At 42.8% G+C, this 25,806-nt stretch overlaps 1 protein-coding gene and 1 long non-coding RNA gene across 5 annotated transcripts in view, besides 2 other annotated features; one reads left to right on the top strand and one right to left on the bottom strand.

The window, feature by feature from the left end:
• INVS (inversin) overlaps positions 1-25,806 on the top strand; it is a 202,933-nt gene that overhangs the window by 174,772 nt on the left and 2,355 nt on the right. For 3 of the 4 annotated variants that reach the window (NM_001318381.2, NM_001318382.2, NM_014425.5), the window contains 4 exons: positions 10,306-10,589; positions 18,312-19,029; positions 22,903-23,132; positions 23,922-23,996. In NM_001318381.2, coding sequence (NP_001305310.1) covers positions 10,306-10,589; positions 18,312-19,029; positions 22,903-23,132; positions 23,922-23,996 — 1,307 coding nt within the window. The remainder of the gene's footprint in view (positions 1-10,305; positions 10,590-18,311; positions 19,030-22,902; positions 23,133-23,921; positions 23,997-25,806) is intronic. The other variant, NR_134606.2, reaches the window with a different exon arrangement.
• On the bottom strand, positions 928-10,307 carry LOC124902235 (uncharacterized). Its single transcript, XR_007061700.1, has 2 exons — positions 6,072-10,307; positions 928-3,507 (listed from the first exon to the last, which is right to left on the bottom strand). It is a non-coding gene; the product is annotated as an uncharacterized LOC124902235 (long non-coding RNA).
• Positions 9,922-10,422: an enhancer, noted in NCBI's record as "H3K4me1 hESC enhancer chr9:103046218-103046718 (GRCh37/hg19 assembly coordinates)". NCBI's record gives its function as "activates a minimal SCP1, AML or CMV promoter by ChIP-STARR-seq in naive H9 embryonic stem cells {active_cell/tissue: H9 hESC(naive)}" and the evidence as "EXISTENCE:reporter gene assay evidence [ECO:0000049][PMID:30033119]".
• Positions 10,423-10,923: an enhancer, noted in NCBI's record as "H3K4me1 hESC enhancer chr9:103046719-103047219 (GRCh37/hg19 assembly coordinates)". NCBI's record gives its function as "activates a minimal SCP1, AML or CMV promoter by ChIP-STARR-seq in naive H9 embryonic stem cells {active_cell/tissue: H9 hESC(naive)}" and the evidence as "EXISTENCE:reporter gene assay evidence [ECO:0000049][PMID:30033119]".

A 25,806-nucleotide genomic window follows, 5' to 3' on the forward strand; every position in this document is an offset into this window, starting at 1 on the left:
CAAAATAGCTGTCTGTGCCTCTTGCACATTCTGATTATTTCACATAAATGATTGATTTTAAAGCTGGGTGCGGTGGCTCACACCTGTAATCCCAGCACTTTGGGAGGCCAAGGCAGGCGGATCACTTGAGGTCAGGAGTTCAAGACCAGACTGGCCAAAATGGTGAAACACCATCTCTACTAAAAATACAAAAATTAGCTGGGCGTGGTGGTTAGCACCTGTTATGCCAGCTACTCGGGAGGCTGAGGCAGGAGAATTGTCTGAACCTGGGAAGCAGAGGTTGCAGTGAGCCCAGATGGCACCACTGCACTCCAGCCTGGGCAATAGAGTCAGACTCTGTCTAAAAAAAGAAAAAAAAAAGATTGATTTTAGATTATACTTAGGTTTGCCTTTTCTTTGATAGATATGTTGGGTAGAAGTATTTCAAATAGCAGCAGTGCATCACATTAGCAAATACAGATACCAAAAACTCTGATGATAAAGATGTGGACAGGCAGATTCTTTTTTTTTGAGACAGTCTCTCGCTGTCACTCAGGCTGGAGTACAGTGGCATGATCGCCACTCACTGCAGCCTCCACCTCCCGGGTTCAAGCGATTCTTATGACTCAGCCTCCCAAGTAGCTGAGATTACAGGCTTGTGCCACCACACCCAGCTAATTTTTGTACTTTTAGTAGAGATGAGGTTTTGCCATGTTGGCCAGGCTGGTCTCGAACTCCTGACCTCAAGTGATCTGCCCACCTTGGCGTCCCAAAATGCTGGGACTACAGGCATGAGCCACTGTGCCCAGCCTGGGCAGATTCTTGAAAGATAACTTCCTGGCTGTATCTCGAATGTTTCTAAATCTTGAGTCCTTCTAACTCTTAAATCCTACATCTTACCCACAAGGGGGAAGCATAAGTGTACTAAATAATCATTAAAAGTAATAATAAGAGGCAAGATAAGTCATTTTAATGAGAAGTTAAATACCACTATGTACTGGAATGCTAATCATCATGTCAGCCTTCAGTAAATAGAGAAACATACCATTTTCTGTGACTCTAAAGCTACTGAAGTAGATGGCATCCGAGGAAATACTATGTTGTACTCTTCTCTTAATGATGCCCTCTTCCTTTCACTTTTGCCAAAGAATCCAGTATCAACATAAAGCCTCTACACCCCTCTTTTTCCAGCCTTCTTATAAAAGTTCTCTGCATGTGAGTGGCAAGCATAAGTAGATAATACACATGACAAATTATCCTGAGTTGCAAGTAAATGATCTCTGTAAAGGGATGGAATGTTGTATTTCCTTCTACTGATGTTTCCATAAACTCCAGTTTATTGTGTGACAATCTATTTTCAAAATTTGTAGTCATACCTACTTGAATATAAGGTGGGACTCAACAAAGGCAACACAACTGACTTTGTATGTCCCCTAAAGGGAGGCTGTAGATCTCTAAGAGATATACTTAAGTGGTGGAGAAACTGATTTCATTTGTTCTATTTCTCAAAAGTTATTTCTTAAAATCTGAGTCAGTGTTTAATTTTGCGTTTAATTCTTGCTTGAAGAAACAAACATCAGGATGCTAAACTCAGTCCTTGCTGCTGCTGCCTCATTGACTAAGCTGGCCCAGGCACAGCATGTCACCTCGGTGTACCTTTCCCAGTTTATTATGTTAGGATGGCAGAAATCATTTTCCTCAAAATGAGGATGTGAAAGGCACTTATTAAACTTAAGTAAAGTGATTTCTAATTTACTGAAAGAGAAACCGGGAGAGAAAAAGTTATAGCGATATTTACTAAGACAGGTAATGTTAGAAAATGCTATTTAAGGAATATCTATAATCAATTTGAAAGCACTTTATAATTCACACTGCACTGCCTATGTTGTTGCCAAAATGAACATTACTATAATTTACCTGCCAAAGCACACGGTTGAGTGTACACTAAAATAAAACCATATTTATGTTGATCACCCTTCTTCCCTGAAGCTCCCTTTTTGCCAGGTTCTTATTTCACTCAAATCTCAGATCTCCTGTAACTCTCTGATTCTCCCTTCTCACATCTTTTAAATTATTCCATCTCCACACTGCAGTCAGCCTTGAAGGCAAACTTTTTAGACTTCTGCTCATGCTATACTTTTTTCCATTGAAAATGTATCTACTCTTAAATTTTAAATTAATTCATCTCTGTAGATAGCCCCCTAATCTGTCTCACATCCTGACCTCCTGGAACTCTAATCTCATATCTTCAGTTGCCTACTGGGCATTTCTGCTATGCTTTTGTCACTTGCCAACACTTTAGATCATTGGACGTTTCCATTTGCATGTCCTGTTTTCACTATAACTTCAGACTCTGCAACACACCGACATGCAAATGCAAGCAGCCCATCACCACAGTCTGTCTCTCTTCTGGCCTTTTTATGTGCTTGCTAGTGCTGCTACCATTGATTGTATGCATTCCCCCTTTGATAGCCTTTTGCTTTCATTCTTCTGTGCCACCACCACTCTATACAAACCCTCGTTCTTCTTTTTTTTGAGACAGAGTCTTTCTGTCATCCAGGCTGGAGTGCAGTGGCTCGATCTCAGCTCACTGCAACCTCCACCTCCTGGGTTCAAGCCATTCTCCTGCCTTAGCCTCCCAAGTAGCTGAGATTACAGGTGTGTGCCACCACGACCAGCTAATTTTTGTATTTTTAGTAGAGATGGGGTTTCACCATGTTGGCTAGGCTGGTGTCAAACTCCTGACCTCAACCCACCCACCTCAGCCTCGCAAAGAGCTGGGATTACAAGCATGAGCCACCACGCCCAGCCCCCTCATTCTTAAATACCAGCCATGGTGCTCTGTAAGATCCTTCAACATTTCTTTCACTTCCACTTACATTTCTAAGTCTCATTTCTCTCCACTACCACCACCCTCTCACTTGATGTCTCAGCCATCCTGAACTTTCTTCACTTCACTTACTGGGAGACCTGAGCTCCTTCCTGGCTAGTATATGTGATTATGTTTCTAAGAGTTTCATCGTCACGTCCAGTTTTGGTAACCCAGTTCAAACTCTTGTGATGCTTAAGTCCCTTCTACGAGAGATTGTTCTGTGTCCCCAAAAAGTCAAGTGCAAGAAGTCCTGTACCTCTCAAGATAGCATATTCCATTAGTGGAGGGCTCTGTCTAGCAAAAGTTCTTTTCTACCCTTTGGTCTTGAAGCTACCCCTGGAAGCCAAAGAGAAAAATCTAAATCCTTTTTCATAAACCAACTTTCAGATTTTTAAAAAACTGCTCATAACACTTCCATTGCTACTGCTCATCTCCTTTTCACTTGGTAATTAGTCAATGCTCCCGTGAACATCACCAGATTGTTAATGGTTGGCCCATGTGTCTGACTCATCTGCTCACAAAGTCATCTGGCCCATGGGGAATTACTTCCATAGTTCTATTTCATGCCATTCCACTTCTCTGAGCCTCAGATTTTCATCAGTAAAATGGAAAGAGGTTTTCTTAATTCAAGATGGGCTTCAGGGATCCATGGGTACCTGAAATTGTACACAGCATTTTGTGTGTCAGGAGCACATATGCATTTCGTGGGAGAGGATCTATAGATTTTTTTTTATCACATTCTCCAAAGGGGGTCCATGAGTCACACACAAAAAGACAAAAACCACTGGACTAAATGATCTCTAACGTCCCTCCCAGCTCTAACATTCTGTAAGTCAAAGGTCCTAAGACACACGACATTTTCTTATTCCCTTGAGAGGGAGTTAAAGATCAACTATTTCTATGCCTGTTATTCAGTGACAATGAAGAGATAAAAATCTGACAAACCCCTAGACACCATGCAACACCAACTGAAAAGGTTAGAGCTAAATCTTTTTTGTCTCATGAGGTAATATTTTCCTCTCACTGGAAATGATCCAACAGAAGTGGAATTATCATCTCTCCACAATCGTATATAAGGAATTTTTTAAATTATGTGAAGATGCCTATAATCACAGCACTTTAGGAGGCCAAGGCAAGAGGATCGCTTGAGCCCAGGAGTTTGAGACCAGCCCAGCAGTTCAAGACATAGTGAGACCACGTCTCTACAAAAAAATTTTAAAACTAGCCAGTGTGTAGTGGCTTATACCTGTAGTCCCAGCTACTAGGGAGGTGGGAAGATCACTTGAGCCAGGGAGGTTAAGGCTGCAGTGAGCTACATCACACTATTGCACTCCAGCCTGGAAGACAGAGAGAGAGACCCTGTCTCAAAAAAAAAAAAAAAAAAAAAAAATTTATGTGAGGAGCTGGTCTCTGAGATCTCTTCTGAGTCTCTGCTCATGCATACTTCTCCCTCTGCCTGAAATAACCTCTCAGTTTATTCCTCTCTCATTCTTCATATGCAGCCTTTTTCTCCCCGTTTAATTAGTGAGTGTCTCCCACATCCTCCCATAGCCCTATATAGTTACTTCTCCTTTAGCACTCATCACATCTAGAACTCACTGTTGGCAGGAGTGTATGGGTCTGATTCCCTGACTCGATTGTCAGTTTCTTGAGAACAGGGACTGTGTGTTATGTACCTCCACATCTCTAGTACCTTAGAATGTTTGGTATATAGTAAGCATTCAATAAATAAATGTTCAGTAAATTCCCCTACAAAGGGTCTAAAACCTTACATAAGCCATTGATCACTGTAGGCCTTAGTTTCCCCATCTGTCAAACGGAAGGGTTAGACCAAATACTCTCTTAGGTTTCTTTCAGTTCTTATACGTGACTCTCCGTAAGTGTAGAACTTTAACTTGTTTGCCTTGCTCAAGGCAGCAAACACATTATATACCACTCATCCTCACAATGCTCTTTGACACTTACATATTCATTTTGTTTTCCAACTCCCTGAATATTGGTCATGAGAAAATTATCATTTGACAGATTATAACAGTCTGTGTTCTGATTTTAAAAAGAAAGAGCAAAGGGGCTCACCGCTGTCCATACTTGAACATGAAACCATGATTCTGTAAACTTCTTAGACTCAAACTGTTTACAAGTCTTATCCCTGCCAGATTTAGAGAATATTGGGAAGAACAAATGCAGGTAAATACCGTTTCTTGCTTAGAAGATATAAGGAAGTTTAGCCAAATAGTTGACGTTAATTTGTCTCTAGGAACCAAAAACATACCCGTAAGAAATGGAAGCCGGATTGAATAATGTGGATTTTAGATATTACAAATATAGATAAATATTAAAAAGTAGACATGACAGCTGTCCTTAATCTCATTTCATAAATGTGGAGATGGGCACACAAAGGTTAGCCTGCCTGAAGTCACACAGCTAGTAAGGAAGAGAGATGGCACATGAATCTAAGTCTCAAGGCCAAGCTACCTACCATTACTTGGTTCAAGGGAATCCTTCTACCAGCCAAGCCCATACTAGAGGCTGTCCCCAGATGCTAGCAACCATCTGATTGAATAACCATCTGTATCATTCAATTATGCCACTGTTGATCCCATTCGTTGTTAAGAGAGTGGTGCCAAGCCACCATTATCAATTCTATAATATAATTCAATAACGCTCTTCCTATTACCCTCAAAACTAACAGAACAGAGCACACCAATATTCTCCTAAATCCTTGAGAAAGTTACAAATATTGATTGGTCCCTAGCCTACACCAGGACAATTAACTAGAATGGCAGCATTTAGGCAAAGCTGGGTTAAATCAGTATGACAGGACACACTAACTAGACTTCTCTTTTCTGTGGAAGCATTTTAATCACATCTCTCAGACCTCACTAGGTGTTGTATTCATGGCAATGGAAACCTGAATATTCATGGGATGGGAAAGAGCCTGCCTGGTTCTGCAGTGTCTGATAGAATTAATTTCTTCGTGTCAAAAGTGGGCAAATAGAACTCTCTTGTGGGTCGCAGTATTTAGAAGGCACATAGTGGGGTAGAAAAAATATCAACTTCCATAACTCCAACTGTGCAGGGCCAGAGTCGAGAGTTTGCCATATTGTGCAAACAAATACATCCACTCCTGAGATGCTGAAACCATCGTACGTTCAAGTCATTTAAGTTACTGCCCTTGATCAGCTTTTGTTAAAATTTGTTAAAATTTCTGATCACTCACCTTCTTTTTAGCCCTTTTCTTGCTAAATTTTCATCCAGGCTAGTGATTTGTAAAAATTTCTATCTGTGGGTCTTAGATTTGGTTTTAGGGGGCTTTGGGGGAATATCTCTGCCCCACAATAGCCCTCCAGCAATGTGAAGCAGCGTTGTGTCTTGTAAATCTTTTCTTCCCTGGGTAGACAGCCCCAGTCCCATCAGCTGATAGTCTGGAAACTCCTCTTCACCCTGTGGAGCACAGGACCTGAAATAGATGTTGTCAAAGATTTGATCCCCAGTTGACTTTCTCACTTTCTTATCCTGTAAGCCTCTGAAGAGCTGCAAAATTGCTCTAAAAGAGACAGTACAAACCAGACTAAATTGGAAGCCCATTAGAAGCTGTCATCTAGCCAATTTCTCTTCACATAGTAGGTAGGAAAAAAAAAAGAGAGTGAAAGGTGGGACTAGTTTATCCACTAATATTCTGCCATGTTAATAATTTTCCTGCAGAAATGTTGCTTGCTGTGTCATAGAACTTTTTTTAATTTTTCATATCAACTAGAATAATCTTTTTCTGATTTTTTTTCTAAACTTTACAAGTAAAATAGATCTTTATAACATAGCACACCTTAATGATTAAAGATCTTTGACATTTCATCATAACTTAAGAAAAAAACATTTAAATTTCAGGACAATTATTGAATCTAAGAGCTAAGGACTAAACACTACGTCGAAAGCTAGTTATGGCTGAGTGTGGTGGCTCACACCTGTAATCCCAGCCCTTTGAGAGGCTGAGGTGGGAGGATCACTTGAGGCCAGGAGTTGAAGACAAGCCTGGGCAACATAGGGAGACCTTGTCTCTACAAAAATTTTTTTTAAAAATTAGCCTAAAAGTTCAAGGTTACAATGAGCTATGATTGCACCACTGCATTCCAGCCTAGGTGACAGAGTGAGACCCTGTTTCTAAAAATAAAAATAAAAAAGAAAGCTCATTTTTAAATGCTGCTAATGGTTAGTTTGAAGTGGCATCCCCAGCTTCTTTGTATGACCCAATTAATTTTTTAAATAATGGAAGAAGATTAGGTGAAATTTTTAAAAACAATTCTGTCATGGGGATGAATTTTACCAGGAGATAAAGCAGCTGCGTTCTATCTTGGCTCTGTCTGTAGTTTACCATGCAGCCTTGGGTAAGTCACTTACCTCTCTGCCTGTTTTCTTATCTACCAAATGAGGGTGTCACCCTCAATAAACTGGTTTCTTCAAACTCTTACACTATGAGCAATGGTTCTGGACCTTTTCCCCAGGGAGAGACATATATGTGGGGTCACGTTCAACTCTCAGAAGCTGAATTGTGTGTGTTGTTGTTATTGCTGCTGCTGCTTTAGTTTTAAGGCAGCAATATAGATAAAATAGGATACAAGTTATGCATAATTTCCAGTTTTAATCCCACTCCGTTTTTTCTCAGTGATCACTGCTATTACATCAAAGAACCACTGGTCTGAAGAACTTCACAATTGTGGGCCATGTGCCACCTAGAAGATTTTTTTAATGCAAAATGCATCAATTTAAAAAACATTAATTATATTTGTAAGACCAGGGGCTAATTATTCATTCAGATGATTGCATTCTGTCTCCTAATTCTGCTTACGTAGTTCTACCAAAATGAAAAATCACCCCCCTGGTATCCCCCCTCCAAAGCAATCTCCAGAAGCCAAAGCCCTCTTGCTTTCTGGATGTCTTGATCACTTTAAAAGGCTGGATCCCCTGTTCCTCATGTGGCTGCCTTTGTTGAAGGCCCAGAAAGGTTTGCAGTGATAAGGTTTGCCCCGGGGCTGGCTACAGAGAGGCTTCTTGGAATTGAACAAGAGAGCTGTTGGGTTTCCTAAAAAGAAAGAGGAGACTGCTCAAATAACAAAGTCTAATTTATCACCTCAGAGTCCCCCTTAATGGCAGTGAGATCCATATAGGTGCCAACCCAGACAGCCACCCACATGTGTCTGTCTAAAGAGCCAATATCATTCTCTTAAAACAGCCCTGCTCATCGGTGCTGATAAAAAGCTCAGCACTTCCTCTGCCTTCCTGGAGCAAGGCTATTAAATCTATTAGCAGCACTTCAGCCACCCAGATGCTTCCACCTTCTTCTGAAAAGCAGCCTTGTCCCAGAGAGATCACACTGAAATGGCACCTGCTTGCATCCGTATGAATCTCAGGCTCCGAGATGACAGGCTGTCCGGCTGGCCTGTAGACCACAGTCATTAGCAGGTGGCAAAGATGTCACAAAACCAGAGTCAAATAAAAACACTAGAGCTGTACAGGAGTTAGCACGACCCATCTGGCCATGTTCTCGGTAATGGGACTCAGTAGAAAACTATTATATAAGCAAGCTTGGACCCCAGATCAGGGGCTACTCCATACAGGAAGAAAGAGTTTCAGAAGGGGAATTTAACAAGTTGACAAGGTTGTAAATCAAAATGTAACCCAGATGTATGTCAGCTGGGGCTTTCCTGTCGCTTGAGATCTAAATAAGCTTTGCTTCAAATGCCGTAGTCCATAGCAGTCTGGATTCTATGACTGCTTGGAGGCTTAGGGTCTCCGCCTTGTCTCATGCTTCTGTGTCTGATCCTTAGCTCTGCAATTTGTCAGGTTGCCTATAAAGAAGGCATGCTCATGTGTGAGCAAGGTGGGCCTTACAAAAAATTGGTGTCATTGTGGAGAATCACATTTCATATTGTATGTTTCATTCCATCTAGTGGTATAGTGAACAGTCCATATTAGACTTTCCTGTGCTCTTAAGCCTGGCTACTCAAGGTGTGGCCAGAGGGCCAGCAACACCTGGATCACCTGGGTGCTTGCTAGAAATGCAGAATCTTGAGTTCTCTCTAGCCTAAGTCGGAATCCATAATTACCAAGACACCAGGTGATTCAGCCCAATAAAGTGTGAGGAGCACAGAACTAAAGTCCTTTTCAGCCGGGCGCGGTGGCTCACGCCTATAATCCCAACCCTTTGGGAGGCTAAAGCTGGGGGATAGCTTGAGGCCAGTAGTTCAAAACCAGCCTGGGCAACAAAGTGAGACCCCCCCTCCCCATCTCTACAAAAAATTTAAAAATTATCCAGGTGTGGTGGGGCATGCTACTCGGGAGGCTGAGGTGGGAGGATCGCTTGAGCCTGGGAGTTCAAGGCTGCGGTGAGCTAAGAAGGTACCACTGCACAGTGCACTCTAGCCTAGGTAAAAGACCGTGTCTTTAAAAAGATAAATAAATACAAAATATAACATTTCTTCTATCATATATTAGGTCTTTGTTTTCCTGGCTGTCCCCTTCTGGGTAGAAGATTCCTCAGGAGAGGACCTGAAATCTGTGGTTGTCATTTCTGTATCTTCAGTGCCCAGCAGAGAGAGACTCAGAAATTAAGTGTTTTTCCTCCTGTCTTTCCCTTGGGAATCCCTACAAGTTAACAGCAATGGTCAAACAAATCCTGCCCCTAACTCGGCCCCTTTGTCTTGAGTTAGGGGCCTGGGCTACCTTTCTGAGCCACCTCAGACCCACCTGCCTCGCCCAGCTACTCATCTTTAGACGGGCCCCTGCTCCCCAGCCCTTCTCTGTTCTCCTGCTACCCAAGGGTTCCAGCTTTGCCACCAGCTACTTATGTGTGACTTTTTGAAAATCACCCTACCTTCTGGGTCTCATCTGTAAAATGAGTGGATCTGACTCATTAGCTAGAGCTGTCAACGGCAGCATCTGCAACTCACAGGTGTGTTTTAATCACTGGCAAGGTACTTTGCAAGTGACTTTTTATATGATCATTAAGGTTTGATGGGCTTTTTTAAATGAATAGAGCAGATTCAAGGTTATCCCTTTGACTGTCATTCTCGGTAGCATTCTGGTGTGCTTTCTGAAACAGGAGAAAAATGGGTGGAGTTACAGGTAGCTCCAGGGATCACACATAAGCTTGGGGCACATACACCGTTGGGAGTGTGTTATGTTTCACACAGAAAAGTTGCCTGGTTATCTGTCATGTGTCTCAACAGCACAAAGACTGATCTATAAACTTTTCTGCTCCATCATCTTTTGGGCTATAAGGCCTGGTGTAAAAGAGATGGTTTTTATTTTATCTGGAGAAAAGACTGCTCTTGGAAAATGCAAATTTCCAAATATCTCCTGTGATGTAGTAGCTCCTCTTAAAATTTAAACTCACACAGAGACTTGAGGAGGTGATACTCTTTAAATTTTTTCATCTTCTTCTTTGGCTTTGCTTCCAGAAAGCGAGAGGAAGAAAACAAACGAAAAGAGGCAGAACAGCAAAAAGGAAGGCGGAGCCCAGATTCCTGCAGACCCCAGGCCCTTCCCTGTCTGCCTAGCACCCAGGATGTGCCCAGCAGGCAGAGCCGGGCCCCCAGCAAGCAGCCTCCTGCTGGCAACGTGGCCCAAGGCCCTGAGCCAAGAGACAGCAGAGGATCTCCAGGAGGGTCTCTAGGCGGAGCCCTCCAGAAGGAGCAGCATGTTTCCTCAGATTTGCAGGGAACAAACTCCAGAAGGCCAAATGGTAGGTGTATTGCCTTTGTCATCTTCTGCCGGCCCATGGACTGTGGGCTTTTTTGATTGGTGTATTTAGACCAATTACACTTAAGATAATTGTTATATTAGCACCTAGGACCGCCACTTTATGATTTGTGTTCTACTTGTTTCCTCTGGTTCTCAGTTCTTTTTCTTTTTTTTCCCTTCCTGTAGGTTACTTCAGCATTTTTAAAAATTCTATCTTGATTGATTTATGGTTTTTTGTTTTCTTTTCTTTTTTAGAGTGAAGTGTGAAAACCTCACTTCCATTCACTTTGTCCACTTTTACGTTTCATTGCTTAGGTATCGGATGGTGTTATAAATTTTGTTTCAATCATGAAATACAATTTATAAAACTCACAAAGGAAATAACATTTTATGCGCCCGCCTGTATTTCTGCTCTTCTGTTGTTTCTTCTTCCTTCCTGATGCTCTAAGATTCTTGTATCATTTCCTTTCTGTATGAAGAGCTTTCTATGGCCAATCTTTAAGGGTATGTCTGCTAGCAACAAATTCTTTCAGTTTTCCTTTGTCTGAGAATGTTTTTATTTGATTCCTGAAGAATCATTAAGCCAGATATAGAATTCAGGGTTGGCAGTTCTTTTCTTTTAGCACTTGAAAAATATTGTGCCATTTCCTTTTGGCTTCCATGGTTTCAGATGAGAAATCCACTGTCATTCAAATTGGTGTTTCTCAGTAACAGTCCTAGGTAATATGTCATTTCTCTCTGGCTGCTTTCAAGATCTTAAAATTTATCATTAGCTTTCAGAAGTTTAATATGATGTGTCTTGGCATGGCTTTTTGCAGTTTATCCTATTTAGAGTTTACTTGTGTGTCAGGGATCCCCATGATCCCCATCCCCAAGACTACCACCAGGTTTGGTGAGGTTGGAGGATTTACTAGTTTGACTGAGCATATAGTTGTACTCCCAGTTAGGATTTATTATAACAAAGGGACACAAAGCAAAATGAGCAAAGAGAAAAGGTGTATGGAGCAATGTCCAGAGGAAATTAGGCACGAGCTTCCAACGGCTCTCTCCCAGTGGAGTCACACACAACACGTTTAATTCCTTCTGCAATAAATTGTAACAACCAGTCAGACAATCTTTTGTTGACAAAGAAAGCTCACATGAACCTAGGACTCCAGGATTTTTATCTGGAGTCAGTCACATAGATACCCTCTGCCTAGCATATGCCAAAATTCCAGACTCCCAGAAGGAAAGGTGTGCAGCACGAACCCTATTGTTTGCACGAAGCAATTTAAACACACTGAGCTACTCTTATAAGTTAGAGAACGGTAGGAGCTTTCCCAAAATCTAAGTGCAAATGCCAACACAGTGAAAAAGGCAAATAATGTCTTCGTATTATTATGAAAATAGCCCTGACCTTATGGACTTTCTCAGAAAGGGGCTCTGGAACTTCATGATTACTGAATTCAGGGCTTGGACAGTTCAATCTGTTTCTTTGAACCTTAACTTCCTTAGCTATAAAGTGAGGGTATACTTTCTACACCACAAGGTAGCTATGGATAGAAATAATTCATGTAGTGTACTTGTTATAGCCCATAACTCATCATAGGTTTTCAGTAACTATTATTATTGAGCCACTCATTAATCTAGCCAAGAACAACTACAGAAAAGTATACATAAAATGACTACAGGCCGGGTGCAGTGACTCACACCTATAATCCCAACACTTTGGGAGGCTGGGGCAGGTGGATTACTTGAGGCCAGGAGTTCAAGACCAGCCTGGCCAACTTGGCGAAACTCCATCTCTACTAAAAATATACAAATTAGCCAGGCATCGTGGTGCATGCAACTCAGGAGGCTGAATCACAAGAATTGCTTGAACTTGAGAGGCGGAAGTTGCAGTGAACCGAGATTGCGTCACTGCACTCCAGCCTGGGTGACAGTGAGACTCTGTCTCAAAAAATATATATATCTAAAATGAATATAAACATTTCTGGAATATAATTCCATAATCCACTTTACAGTGTAATCCTTAAGGATTATATACTCATGATGCTTTGGTACATATTCATTCATTTATTCATCCAACCAGCTTTAATTAAGCTCCCATAATGTGACAGCCATGTTGAACTTCCTTGAGTTCTTTCTTAGCTTGGGGCCTTTGCAGATGCCACTCCCTCTACCTTATTTTTTAGATATCAGGGATAATGTTTCTTCTTCTGTTCAACCAATATCTCCCCGCTAAAGGAGGCTATAGTTTCCTGCTATTGCTTCCATACTTCTCCTATACTTCCCTCTTATAAAGATCATCACTTTTTACTGTTATTACTGGTTTACTTGTCATTTTTTCCACCAAACTGCAAGATCTGTAAGAGTAGGGTTGCTTCCATTATCTACTGCTGTATAACAAACCACACAAAAACAAAGTGACTTTGAACAATGACAATTTAATTTTTATGATTCTATTTTGGTTGGGAAGTTTGTTTACGGGCTTCATCTGGTCTCACTCATGTGTCTGCATTCAGGTGGAGAGTCAGTGGAATTCCATGTCTAAGATATAGTCACTTAAATGTCTAGCAATTGATGCTGGCTATCAGATGGGATTCCTTGACTCTGGTTTACGTGGTTTTCATCCTCCAGTAGACTAGACTGGCTTCCTTACATTGTGGTCTCAGGACAGCATTTTCAGAAAGCGAAGATAAAAGCCACAAGACCTCTTGAGAAATAGACTCTAGAATTTGCACACATTATATTGATCAAAGCAAGTTACGAGACCATCCCAGACCAAATGATGTCGAGAAATAGATTCCACCTTTGTGCATACTAAGATGGGAGGAATTTTTGGCTATTAAACAATCTGTCATAGTTCCTATTTGGTCACAGATTATTCACATTCCTCCCACATGCAAGATATTCTTACCCCTTGATATGGATTGGCTCTGTGTCCCCACCCAAATTCCCAGTGTTCGGGGAGGGACTTGGTGGGAGGTAATTGGATCATGATAGTGAGTTCTTACAAGATCTCATGGTTTAAATGTGTGTGGCACTTCCCCGCTCGCTCATGCTCTCTCCTGCTACCATGTGAAGAAGGTGCTTGCTTCCCCTTTGCCTTCCACCATGATTGTAGGTTTCCTGAGGCCTCCCAGTTGTGCTTCCTGTTAGGCCTGTGGAACTGTGAGTCGATTAAACCTCTTTTCTTTATAAATTACCCAGTCTCAGGTAGTTCTTTATAGCAGTGTAGGAACGGACTAATACATCCCTATCTCAGTACCCCAAAATCTCATCCTGATTATCTCATCACACTTGAAGTCTAGGATTTTAAGACATGAACTAGATGTGGTTCAGGTTCACCAGCTGGGACTCTTTCTGATTCAGAGACCAATGAGCCAAAAAGATACATTATCAACACCCCCCACACCCAACAAACAGTGGTAAGACAGGAACAGAATAACCACAGTAGACAAAAGAGGGTGGAATAGGAGGCGTATAGCAGCCATTAGTCCGTAGCAATTCTGAAAACCAGCTGGTCACATTTTACCAGGGCCCCTACTCTGAGGTAAATATTCCTTGATTAGGGTCTCATATTACTCCTGGTGGCTTCCTATTCCATTGTTCTCCATGTCTCTTGGCTCTGCTACCTGAATTCTTGGCTCTGCTCTCTGAGAAGTCCTTCCTTTTCCTAAGAAATGCCCATGTTTGCAGCTGAGTAGCTTTCTCAGCCTATCTCCTGACTATAGGATACTGGGGCCCCAGAGGCTTCTTTTTGATTTGAACTATGTCACCAGTTCAAGCTTGTGGTACTCTCAATAATGCGATTATCTCAAAAACTTCATGGGTTTCCTGCGAATCTGATTGGATTCATTTCATATTTCAAAAGCCACATCCATTATTTTTCAAACAAGCTTTGCTCTAATTTGAGTGGCTTAGATTTCTGTGGGAAAATGCCCTTGAGATTCTTAGAAATTTTTTTGTCGAGCTGAGAGGGCCTATTATGTACCACCTCAAATATTTTTGAGTCTTAATAAAGGGTTGTACAACCATACTTTTTTTTTTTTTTAAGACAGGGTCTCACCCTGTCACCCAGGCTGGAGTGCAGTGGTTCAAGCACAGCTCACTGCAACCTCTGCCTCCCAGGTTCAAGTGATCCCCCCATCTCAGCCTCCCGGGTGGCTAGGACCATAGGTGTGCGCTACCATGCCTGGCTAATTTTTTGCATTTCTTTTTTGTAGAGATGAGATTTCATCATGTTGCCCAGGCTGGTCTCAAACTCCTGGACTCAAGCAAACCACCTGCCTTGGCCTCCCAAAGGGCTGGGATTTTATAAGTGTTAGTTATTGTGTCCGCCCTGATTTGATCTTTATGCTGAGGCCTATGAGACTCTTTTGCTGGTTGGAAAGAATAAAAATGTTAAAATAGTTTTATTTTCTAACCCAGCACATCCCGGGATCTTTACATTATCTCTAAATTTTGCTTACAAACGGAGCAGTTTTTCCTTCATTTTATTTGTTTTCTCCCCATACTTTGTCATATGTAGCTTAAAAAGCAGTTGACATTTTGTTCTACATTCCACCTGGAAACTTCCTGAACTGTATCTACAGCTCCATTAGGTATATTTTCTATCTTCTATGTTACTGCAAGTGACAATTTTGCCAGTTAATTCTGCCACTGAATAACAAGGTTCACTTCTCTCTAGATTCCAACAGCAATTTCTTTTCTGCTCTTCGAGCCTTCACCAGCAGTCTCTTCATTGCCTTCCCAGCTTCTGCTCACCAACCAGTCCAAAGTCAATACCCTGGGTTTTGTATTTTAAGACAGTACCTCTCTTTTATAGATATAAATATCTGTGTTGGTTATCTCTTGTGGCATAATAAAACACTCCCAAAACTAAGTGGCTTAAAACAACAGAAGTTTATTATTTCTCACAGTCCCATGGGCTACCTGGGCAGTTCCTCTTCTCGATCACCTGGGCTCATTCATGAGGTTGATAGAATTTGCACAAGATGTGGCCAAGATGGCCGCCTTCATATATCTGGCAATTGGTGGTGGCTGTTGGCTGTCTCTATTCTCCTTTATATGGCCTTTTGTTCTCCAGTAGGTTAGACTATCTTCCTTACATATATTGTTCTCAGAGCAGTACTCTTGAGAGAAGGCAGAAACTGCATGTCACCCAGTTTATCCATTCACCTACTGAAGAAACATCTTGGTTGCTTCCATGTTTTGGCCGTTATGAATAAAGCTACTATAACATCCCTGTGCAGCTTGTATGGACATAAGTTTTCAACTTATTTGAGTAAATATAAAGGAGTGTGATTGCTGGATCTTATGTAAGAATATGTTTAGTTTTGTAAGAAACTGCCAAACTGTCTTCCAAAGTGGATGTACCATTTTGCATTCCTACCAGCAATGAATGAAAGTTCTTATTGCTCCACATCCCCACCAGCATTTGGTCACTGTTTTGGATTTTTGCCATTCTAATAGGTGTGTAGTGGTATCTTGTAGTTTTAGTTTTTTTTTTGGCCCGGTGGGGTGGGGGTTGCATATATGTGAAACATTGTAACAGCTCTAAGAGTCAGAGCTATACAAAAAGGTGGAGCCAGAGAAGTGTCTCTCACTCCCTCTTCATCTCTACTATCCAGCTCCCATTTCTCTTTTCTTTCCACCTCTTTCCCACTCAACTCCTGCAGGTAATCAATTTCTTTAGTTTTTGCTTTATGTTTTCTATATTTCTTTTTCACAAATGAGCAGATATAGGTATATTTTCTTATATCCCTTTCTTTCTTTCTTTGAGACAGAGTTTCGCTCTTGTCGCCTAGGCTGGAGTGCAGTGGCGCAATCTTGGCTCACCGCAACCTCTGCCTCCCAGGTTCAAGTGATTCTCCTGCCTCAGCCTCCGGAGTAGCTGGGATTACAGGCATGCACCACCATGTCCAGCTAATTTTTTTGTATTTTTAGTAGAGACAGGGTTTCTCCACATCGGTCAGGCTGGTCTCGAACTCCCGACCTCAGGTGATCTGCCCACCTCGGCCTCCCAAAGTGCTGGGATTACAGGCGTGAGCCATCACACCCAGCCCATCCCTTTCTTTCTTACATGAAGAGTAGTATAGTTTAGATAGCTCTTTTGCACTTAAGAGTATTTTATTTTACATTATTGAGACATAGTCTCACTCTGTTGCTCAGGCTGGAGTGCAGTGGCACAAACAGCTCACTGCACCCTCAACCTCCCAGCCTCAAGCGACCTTTCACCTCAGCCTTCTGAGTAGCTGGGACTACAGGCATGCACTACCATGTCTGGATAATTGTTTTTTTGTTTTATTTTTAGAAATGGGGTCTCACTATGTTGTCCCGGCTTGTCTCAGACTTGGCTCAAGCAATCCTCTTGCCTCAGCCTCCCAAGGTGCTGGGCCCACTGCACCCAGCCAGAACAGTTATTTTAAAGTCTGTTTCTGAAAACACATTATCTGGATAATCTATGTGCCTGTTTTATTAAGAATTTTTTTTTTTTCAGACGGAGTCTCGCTGTCACCCAGGCTGGAGTGCAGTGGTGCAGTCTCAGCTCACTGCAACCTCTGCCTCCCGAGTTCAAGCGATTCTCCTGCCTCAGCCTCCCAAGTAGCTGGGACTACACGCGTGCGCCACCATGCCCAGCTAATTTTCGTATTTTTAGTAGAGACGAGATTTCACCATGGTGGTCAGGCTGGTCTCAAACTCCTGACCTCATGATTCCTGCCTCGGCCTCCCAAAGTGCTGGGATTACAGGCATGAGCCACCGTGCCTGGCATATTTTTCAGTTTAGATGTTGTATTTGTTTTTCAAATCTATCCTTTTCTCGTATTTTAAACTTCTTTTGTGTGTTTAATCAACGTGTGTGTGCTAACGTTTTGAGAGATCTGATCTTGCTATTGTGTTAACTGTTGCTTATGGTACATTGTTTCCTCATGCATTTTGTGATTTTGGATTGTGAAGTCATTTTCAGAGGACTCCGTTGTGCAGCCTGAGTTGAGGGCATGTCACACTAAAGCAATATTGTGTTTGCTTCTGTGAGGCATCCTGGGATATCTCCATCCTAAGACCAGTTTTTATAGTAATATCTCCTATGGATTGAGAATAAATGAATACCAAGCCCATGTAAGGAAGACGACTTTGGTTTTAAATTCTTATGGGAGACTCCTTACCCCATCCAGAACCTGGGCTGAAACAAACTTCCTTGTCATCTCTAAGTGCTGGAGAGCAGATTTTAAAATCTGGATTATTTCCAAAAGGTATATCCCTTCAAGAGTGCTGGCTTCATGTAGAGTCTTGGTTCCAGTTAACTTTCTTCCTGCAAGGACTCATTTTCTGTTCTTATGTAGATGTTAAAGCACAGCCAGATATTTAATAAGACCATCTGTTGCCCACTCCACCACCATTACCTGCCTAGACAGTCACTGGATCAGCTCACATACTTAATTGCTTTGATTTTCAATTTTCTCTTTGTTTTTGGCCTCCAGAGTTCCTTTATTTTCTTAAAGGCATGACAGTGCTTTCCAAAGGATATCCACTATATTTTCGTTAAGGCGAGAAGGGCTTCAGGTTATCTAACCTACCATATTGCTGGAAATAGAAGTTAAACCGTTTTTTTCCTAGTCTGTAACTGCCACTATTATGGTGATGATATAGGCTAAGTCTGAATATTTTATGTGAACATATTAGGAAAATTATCCTACTCTGCAAGTTTTGGACAATATTTTTTCTTTGTTTCCTCAAGAAACAGCCAGAGAACATTCTAAAGGCCAATCTGCTTGTGTCCACTTCAGACCCAATGAAGGCAGTGATGGAAGCAGGCATCCAGGAGTTCCCTCTGTTGAGAAGTCCAGAGGTGAGACAGCTGGCGATGAGCGGTGTGCAAAGGGGAAAGGCTTCGTGAAGCAGCCCTCCTGTATCAGGGTGGCTGGGCCTGATGAGAAAGGAGAGGACTCCAGGCGGGCAGCTGCAAGCCTTCCACCGCACGATAGCCACTGGAAGCCCAGCAGGCGGCATGACACAGAACCCAAGGCCAAATGTGCCCCCCAGAAAAGGCGCACTCAAGAGCTCAGAGGAGGAAGGTGCTCTCCGGCTGGTTCTAGCCGCCCTGGCAGTGCCCGGGGGGAGGCGGTCCATGCTGGGCAGAATCCTCCCCACCATCGTACACCAAGAAACAAAGTGACACAAGCCAAGCTCACAGGAGGGCTCTATTCACATTTGCCACAGAGCACAGAGGAGTTGAGGTCAGGAGCTAGGAGGCTGGAGACATCTACCCTGTCCGAGGACTTTCAGGTATCTAAGGAGACTGATCCAGCACCTGGTCCCCTCTCTGGGCAGAGTGTGAATATTGACCTTCTCCCCGTAGAGCTCCGACTGCAGATAATTCAGAGAGAACGAAGGAGGAAGGAGCTGTTTCGCAAAAAGAACAAGGCAGCAGCAGTCATCCAGCGCGCCTGGCGAAGGTAGGAAAATGGGGTGCTGCCGCATCTGTGGTTCTTTGTTACTGATATTCTCAACATGACATCTGTGCTCTTTGATGTTTTCCCAGTGAGTTCCATGTGGTGGCATGGTAAGGCCAATTTTATAGAGCCTACCCATGAAATTCACACCAGATCCTAGTAATTTACATTGTATAAACCATTTGGAAGATGTTTTTGCCTAGAAAGATGGGAAAGTGCTCAGGACAGCATGGGGTAAAGGAAAAAGCCCTGGGTTTGTAACCATGAAATGTGAGGTTCAGGTAAGCTCTAACAGGTTATGTGACTTTGGGCAAATCACATGGCCCCCCTGACCCTCTGCTTCTTCATCTGTAAAACAGGATTTAATAATTGTTGCACATGTCCTGTTAATATGACAGGTTGCTGGAATGAGATAATGCACGCTTCATTAATTCTAAATTACTACACATAGGAGATACTTTATTTTTATTCTTATGTCTTTACTACCCAGGAACTAGTCATACTCCAAACACCTAAACCAGGGTCTGGATATAACAGATTGAGTGACTAAACTGTATTATGTAAACCTGTCTGAGCATCTACCAAGCTCAAAATACATAGTAGGCACTGGGAGTGGGGGTGAAGGCTGTCCTAAAAGCCTGAAACAGACTCCCAATATAGTAGAGACAAATGCCGCTAGGGGATGATTATGGGAGGACTTGAGGGGTCTTATTGCTACAAATGTTCACGTCTCATAATCTCTTTCATCCTGAAAGCCTCACTAGAGCCTAAATCTAAATTAGGCCTTACAGTGATGAATGTCCAGAGAGAAGCTGGACCCATCACCAATAGGTGGGAGTTGGCCGGGCAGAGTGGCTTACACCTGTAACCCCAGCACTTTGGGAGGCCGAGGAGGGAGGATCACTTGAACCCAGGGTTATGAGACGAGACCACCCCAGGAAACACGGCCAAACTCCGTCTCTACAAAAAGTACAACAATTACCTACGCATGGTGGCACATGCCTGTAGTCCTAGCTATTTGTGAGGCTGAGGCAGGAGGATCGCTTGAGCCCAGGAGGTCAAGGCCACAGTGAGCCATCACCATGCCACAGAACTCCAGCCTGGGCGACAGAGTGAGACCCTGTCTCAAGAAAAGAAATAGGTGGAAGTTATGTCGCCGCCATCACTGGGGAGAGGAAGACGGATGGGGAGGGAGACAAGGCAAGGAAATAATGCGGCACAGGTGTATGAGATATCGAGGTTCCCGTCAGGAGAAAAAGGAAGACGTTCTCTCCTTAACATTGGCAGGGAGAAAACTAGATAGATTCCCAGGAGGTCCAGGGAGAGGCCTCCGTTCATATCATACCAGAGACTGCCTAACCCAGAGCCGGGTGATCTGGTTTGTGCTTGCACAGGCTTTGCAATGTGTTCTCCCTATGTCTGTTTCAGCTCTTGGCCATTAACAAAGTCCTCTCATGCCTGACCCCATGTGAACTCCCAACCACACCAGGAAGCCATCATGACAGGGAGCAGTATCCCCATTTTTCAGACGAGAGGAAAAACTGACTTGTCCTTTTGGTGCAGATCCAGCACTTGAACCTCTGGCTGACTCAAATCCAAGGGCCTTTCCCTTACATTATTAGTGAAGTTAGTTTTTGCTGTGGTCAAGCTAAGGGAGGTGGAGGTGGGCCCCATGCACTTTGCCTGAAAATAGGCTGGAGAAGGCTGCCTGGTTGGTGTCACACACATCAGGGTAACCAGGAGAAGGGTGATGTTACTACTACCAATTGTTAACATACTAGTATTATTTATTGGACACTTGTGCCACTGTTCAAACTAGTTTTACCTGTGCATGTAATCGTCACTGATAACCCTGCAAGGTAGGTATTGTTCTTATCCCCGTTACACAGATGAGGAAACTGAAGCACAGAGAGGTTCATCAACTCACCAACATTACAGAGCAAGTGCCAGGGCTGGCTTTGAGCCAAGACAGTCGGCCTCGAAAGCCACAGGTGGAAATGGCCATTGCACTCTGTGGGACATGCACTGGCTACCATCCAGATGAACTTTTTAAGTATTCTGGCTAAAATCTAGGATCTAAACAAGCCAGCAAGGTTTACCACGCCAGACCCCACAGCTGCTCCCTACCTGAAATGTCTCCTTCTCCGACTGTCTGACTCCTTTGAAGAGTCAGAAGCTGACAGGTCCTGTCAGTAAGTGACCAGAGTAGCAAATGAGCCTTCAGTCATTCCCCCAAGAACAGTGGGCTTATGGTCTAACATGCCCACCTGCGTAGGTAACTACACAGGCCCCCTCTGGATGTGCCATTGTGCAATTCTGAGGCCCAAAGGACTTCTGGGATTGTTGCACATTGCAGAAAGCCAAGTCTGGTGACAGTAAACACACTTTTATTGATTCTATTATATTTTAACTACATTTTCTATTGTAAATACAGGAGCCTGAAGCGCTGTCCTGCAAGTGTATCTGATAGCAAACCTAAGCAGTGAGGGCTGGGGCAGGGGTCAGGGCTGGACACTAAGTGTTCAGTGCAGGCTGTGGTTATAGGGGACAGGTGGAGGATGGAGAAAAGGAGCTGGAAAACAGGCAGGGAAGAAGTGGGCAAAATGAACCTTGGGTCCTGAGAAAATGAAACTTGATCTTAAAATTGTCAGTTTAATAACCAAGTAAGATGACTATTTTAAAGATTGAAACAGGATCCTGGACAAGCTGAGCAGGAAAGGTGCTGCTGGGCCCACTGAGGGCTGACACCATTAACAGCTTCAGCCACTACCTGGGCTTCCCCCCAAGTTCTGTGCCCACAAGAGCAGAAGGTATGGAAGACAGCATTTCAAACAGGAGAAACTGAATTATAGCGCGGTAGTGCCATACTTTTCTCTAGACTTGGCTTTTTGGAAATGTGGTACGTATTCTAGTAGAGGGATGCCATGGTGTTACCCTCCAGGACAGAAGGAAGAGTAGTGTAGGCTGACTGAAATCAGCCTTTGGGGAAGGAGGGAGGGGCTGCACCAAGCGCTGCAAGGAGCTTTTAGCAGACTTAGGAAAAAGATTACTTCCCATTTGGTGCAGCCCAAATGGGATCACTGTAAAATCAGACATGAAGCCTGTTGCTCTCTGCAGCTACCTATAGGCTCACTAGGAATAAAGACAGATACAGATAATAAACATTGCTGCAGCTTTCCTTTGGAGGCCTCAAAATAGTTGTTGTGCTCAGTAAGTTTGGGAGTGCATGTGGGACTGAAAACATCAAATAAATCCTAGATGTAAATATAGCCATCATCCCCATTCCTCACCCACTCTAAACCCACCTCCAACAGACTTATCTTAGTAAGATGCAGCTCATACCTTTACCACTCTAAAGCCCCCTTTCGTCACCAAAGACACAGTGCTTCCACATTGTGTTACTGACTTTCTGGCACAAATGCCTCTATCTATCTCTGCTGATGCCAGTTCTGCTACGTAGAATGCCCTTCTCTGCCTGGTAAGCTCCTATTCATCTTTTAAAATCCAGCACAAATATTAACCTTGTGAAACCTTACCAAACCATCAGTCAGTCCTGCATCTGTTTGCACAACCAGCTCCTTGCTCTTGCACAGTACTCTCATGCCACACGTACCTCTTTACACAGCAGCCTGTTCCACTAGTCTGTGAGCTCCTTGAAGGCAAGGAATCATGATTGAATCCTAGTTCAGGAGGTGTTTGATAATGGAAAAAGAATTCCACATTCAACATGCTGCCGCCAAAATTAGGAATGGGAGCTTGAATGAACCTACCAGGAATTCAGCAAATACTACTCCTATAGCTTCTAGAAACCTTAAGGAAATTTAGTTTTCTCAGTACTGTGATCTTAAAGCCTCTCCTCTCCTCTGACCCAACCAGCTACCAGCTCAGGAAGCACCTGTCCCACCTTCGGCATATGAAGCAGCTTGGAGCTGGAGATGTGGACAGATGGAGGCAAGAGTCTACAGCATTGCTCCTCCAGGTTTGGAGGAAGGAACTGGAACTAAAATTCCCCCAAACCACTGCAGTAAGCAAGGCCCCCAAGAGTCCATCCAAGGGCACCTCAGGCACAAAGTCCACCAAGCACTCAGTGCTTAAGCAAATCTATGGTAACTGTCCTTCTGCCTACTTTGTAGTTCACAAGTACCCCCAGAGTACCACATCAGAATCTGAAGTAGAATTTAATTACATTGGGTAAACTTCCATTCAGATAAATTAGGTTGGTGCAAAATTAATTGTATTATTAAAAATGGTCAAAACTGCAATTAATTTTGCACCAACCTAATATTTCTCAAGCACCATTTCATTCCTGCCTCCCAGCGATACTGGGTCATAATTGTTTGGTTTCGTGAGGCATTCTAGCATCTCAGCCCAGAGTGCCCTCAAGCTTTACTGTTTAAACCTCTCCAGACCCCTGCTTGAGTCTCCTCCTTGCATTACCCATTTGGAGCATTCACGACTTAGCTAGACTCTGCCTGTATCACTTTGACTTTTCCTATGCTGAGATGTTATAGGGTTGCCCACTATGAGAATGCTCAACACCCATGCACTATAGTAAATATTTGTTCAGCAGATTAACTGCTGTAAATTGAAACATTTTCAGCTCTGCAAAGAGCCCATCCAAATAGACCCAGTAGAGTTCAAGAAGCCTTGCTGGCTCAAGAGAAAAAAAGATAAGCAAGAGCACCTTTAGAAAGATCTCCTACAGCATGAACTTTAACATTCATTTAGCAAAATCTCAGGACTTTACCCTGGGCCTACATGTTTCCACACCATACCTAACTTATCTTGACACACACCTGCAAGCTCAAGCCTTTACCACAATAAGGAATTCAGAAGTTGGTCAGGCCAAACGTATCCCTGGCCAAAGAAAAGTAACAGTTGTTGGTTCATTTCAGGTTGTTCTCACGAAGGGAAAATACATCATCCTACAAGATCTGTAAAAGCCTCTTCTGTGCTGCGTCTCAACTCAGGTAAGGCAGCCACTGCAAAGCAGATGGTGGGGAAGAACATGGGGAAGCATTTTCCTTTGTTTCATCCCCAAAGACAGAAGACATTAGAACAGATATGGCCAGGGTTTTCCAATGGTCATTTGATTTCATGGGATTATTACTGTAGCCAACATCTGTCTCCCTAAGAGGCAAATTATTTTCACAACTAAAAGCTATTATTGTTAACATTAACTCCAACAGAAATAAATGGTAGCTATTATTGATCACTTTTACACATTTTTTCACACAAAGGAAATAAATGAAAATACTGTCACTCTTCAAAGGAATACCTTGGGAATCCTTGTTCCATTTTGGTGTCACACTATGATCCCCTATTTCCTTCTCCAAGATGGGAAGAACACCATGAAGAGAACACTGAGAGCATGTACAGCCCAGGCTCAGCTGTGCGTGCTTTCCCTCATACAGGAGAAGCTCAGGGAACTTTCTTTTCAGCCACCAAGACAAGAGTGTTTTACTTAGGGCCCCCTCATTCACACCAGCATTAAATATGGGTGATAAGTTCATTGCTGTCAGCAGCTAATGCCAGGTCCAGTGTTTCTCATAGGTGGCTATGGCAACACGCTCCCCCCTGCCTCCTCGATCCACACAGTCATCCTGGAGGAACAGAGTGCAGCTGGGAAGGTGAACAATGACTGTCAGCATGAACTTTAATATTCATTTAGTTTTTTGATGGGGGGCAAAAACCTGGAGGTGGGGGACAGAGTAATTACTGCCAAATCTTTAATAAGTGTTGGACAACTCATGTAATACAGACAGGCTGATCAGGGAGTGGTGGGTGGGGTAGTTAGAAACTTTCAAAGCAATCAAGGCCTACAGTCTGTTTAAAAACAAACAAACAAAAAAACCCCTTTCATTATACCTGAGCAAATTAAAGAATCATTTCAAAAACAGAATTGTCAGATATCACTACCAGAGAAGTGGCATTTAGACAATCAAATACTAGCATAAATTAGATAACTGGATCATTTTTCAGTCTTAAGAGAAAAACAAATCCAAGACTACCAGAAATCTTTTAAAATGGTGTTTAGCAGCATATAAGTTTTTTAGTTAAGAGACTCAGAAGGGACAGAGTAAATAAATTCAAATCAATACTTAATGATTTCTTAGGACTTCATATGAACAAGCAACTTACTTGTCCTACACATATTTTTGACTGGTTTAAAATCAGACAAGGATAAAATGATCTTTTCCTAACCCCAAATTTAGGAGAACACACAGTTTTGTTAGGCTCAAGCCCACCCACATTAAGCATTAACCAGTTAATGAATATTATTGCTCTCACCCTCCAACTTGGAGAACCCCCCACCCCCGAGGTTTTAGTAGTGCCTTTACCACTTAAAAAGGAAGAAGCAGAAAGGTGGATATAGCAAAATGCCAGCCTCCTTGGGCTGTTTCTCCACATGTATTTGGGAGGCAGCAAATCAATCCCTGCTCATGTCAGTCTTCTACACCCAGCCTTGCAAACCACCCACCAAGAATCTCAGCAGAGCCTTTTATTGACACACAACACACACACACACACACACACACACACACACACAGCCTTGCAAACCACCCACCAAGAATCTCAGCAGAGCCTTTTATTGACACACACACACACACACACACACACACACACACACACACACACACCTGGGCCTATCTCTTTAACAATAAAAGAAAAGAACTCCCTTTAAAGTTCCATTCCAGTGAATGGAATAACTGTGATTATTAGTATTGGTACCCCCTGTACAAATCCAGTTTATTCTTGCTCACCTGCAGAGGGGTACAC

The sequence above is a fragment of the Homo sapiens genome, chromosome 9 (assembly GCF_000001405.40).
Source record: "Homo sapiens chromosome 9, GRCh38.p14 Primary Assembly".
Classification (NCBI taxonomy): Eukaryota; Metazoa; Chordata; class Mammalia; order Primates; family Hominidae; genus Homo; species Homo sapiens.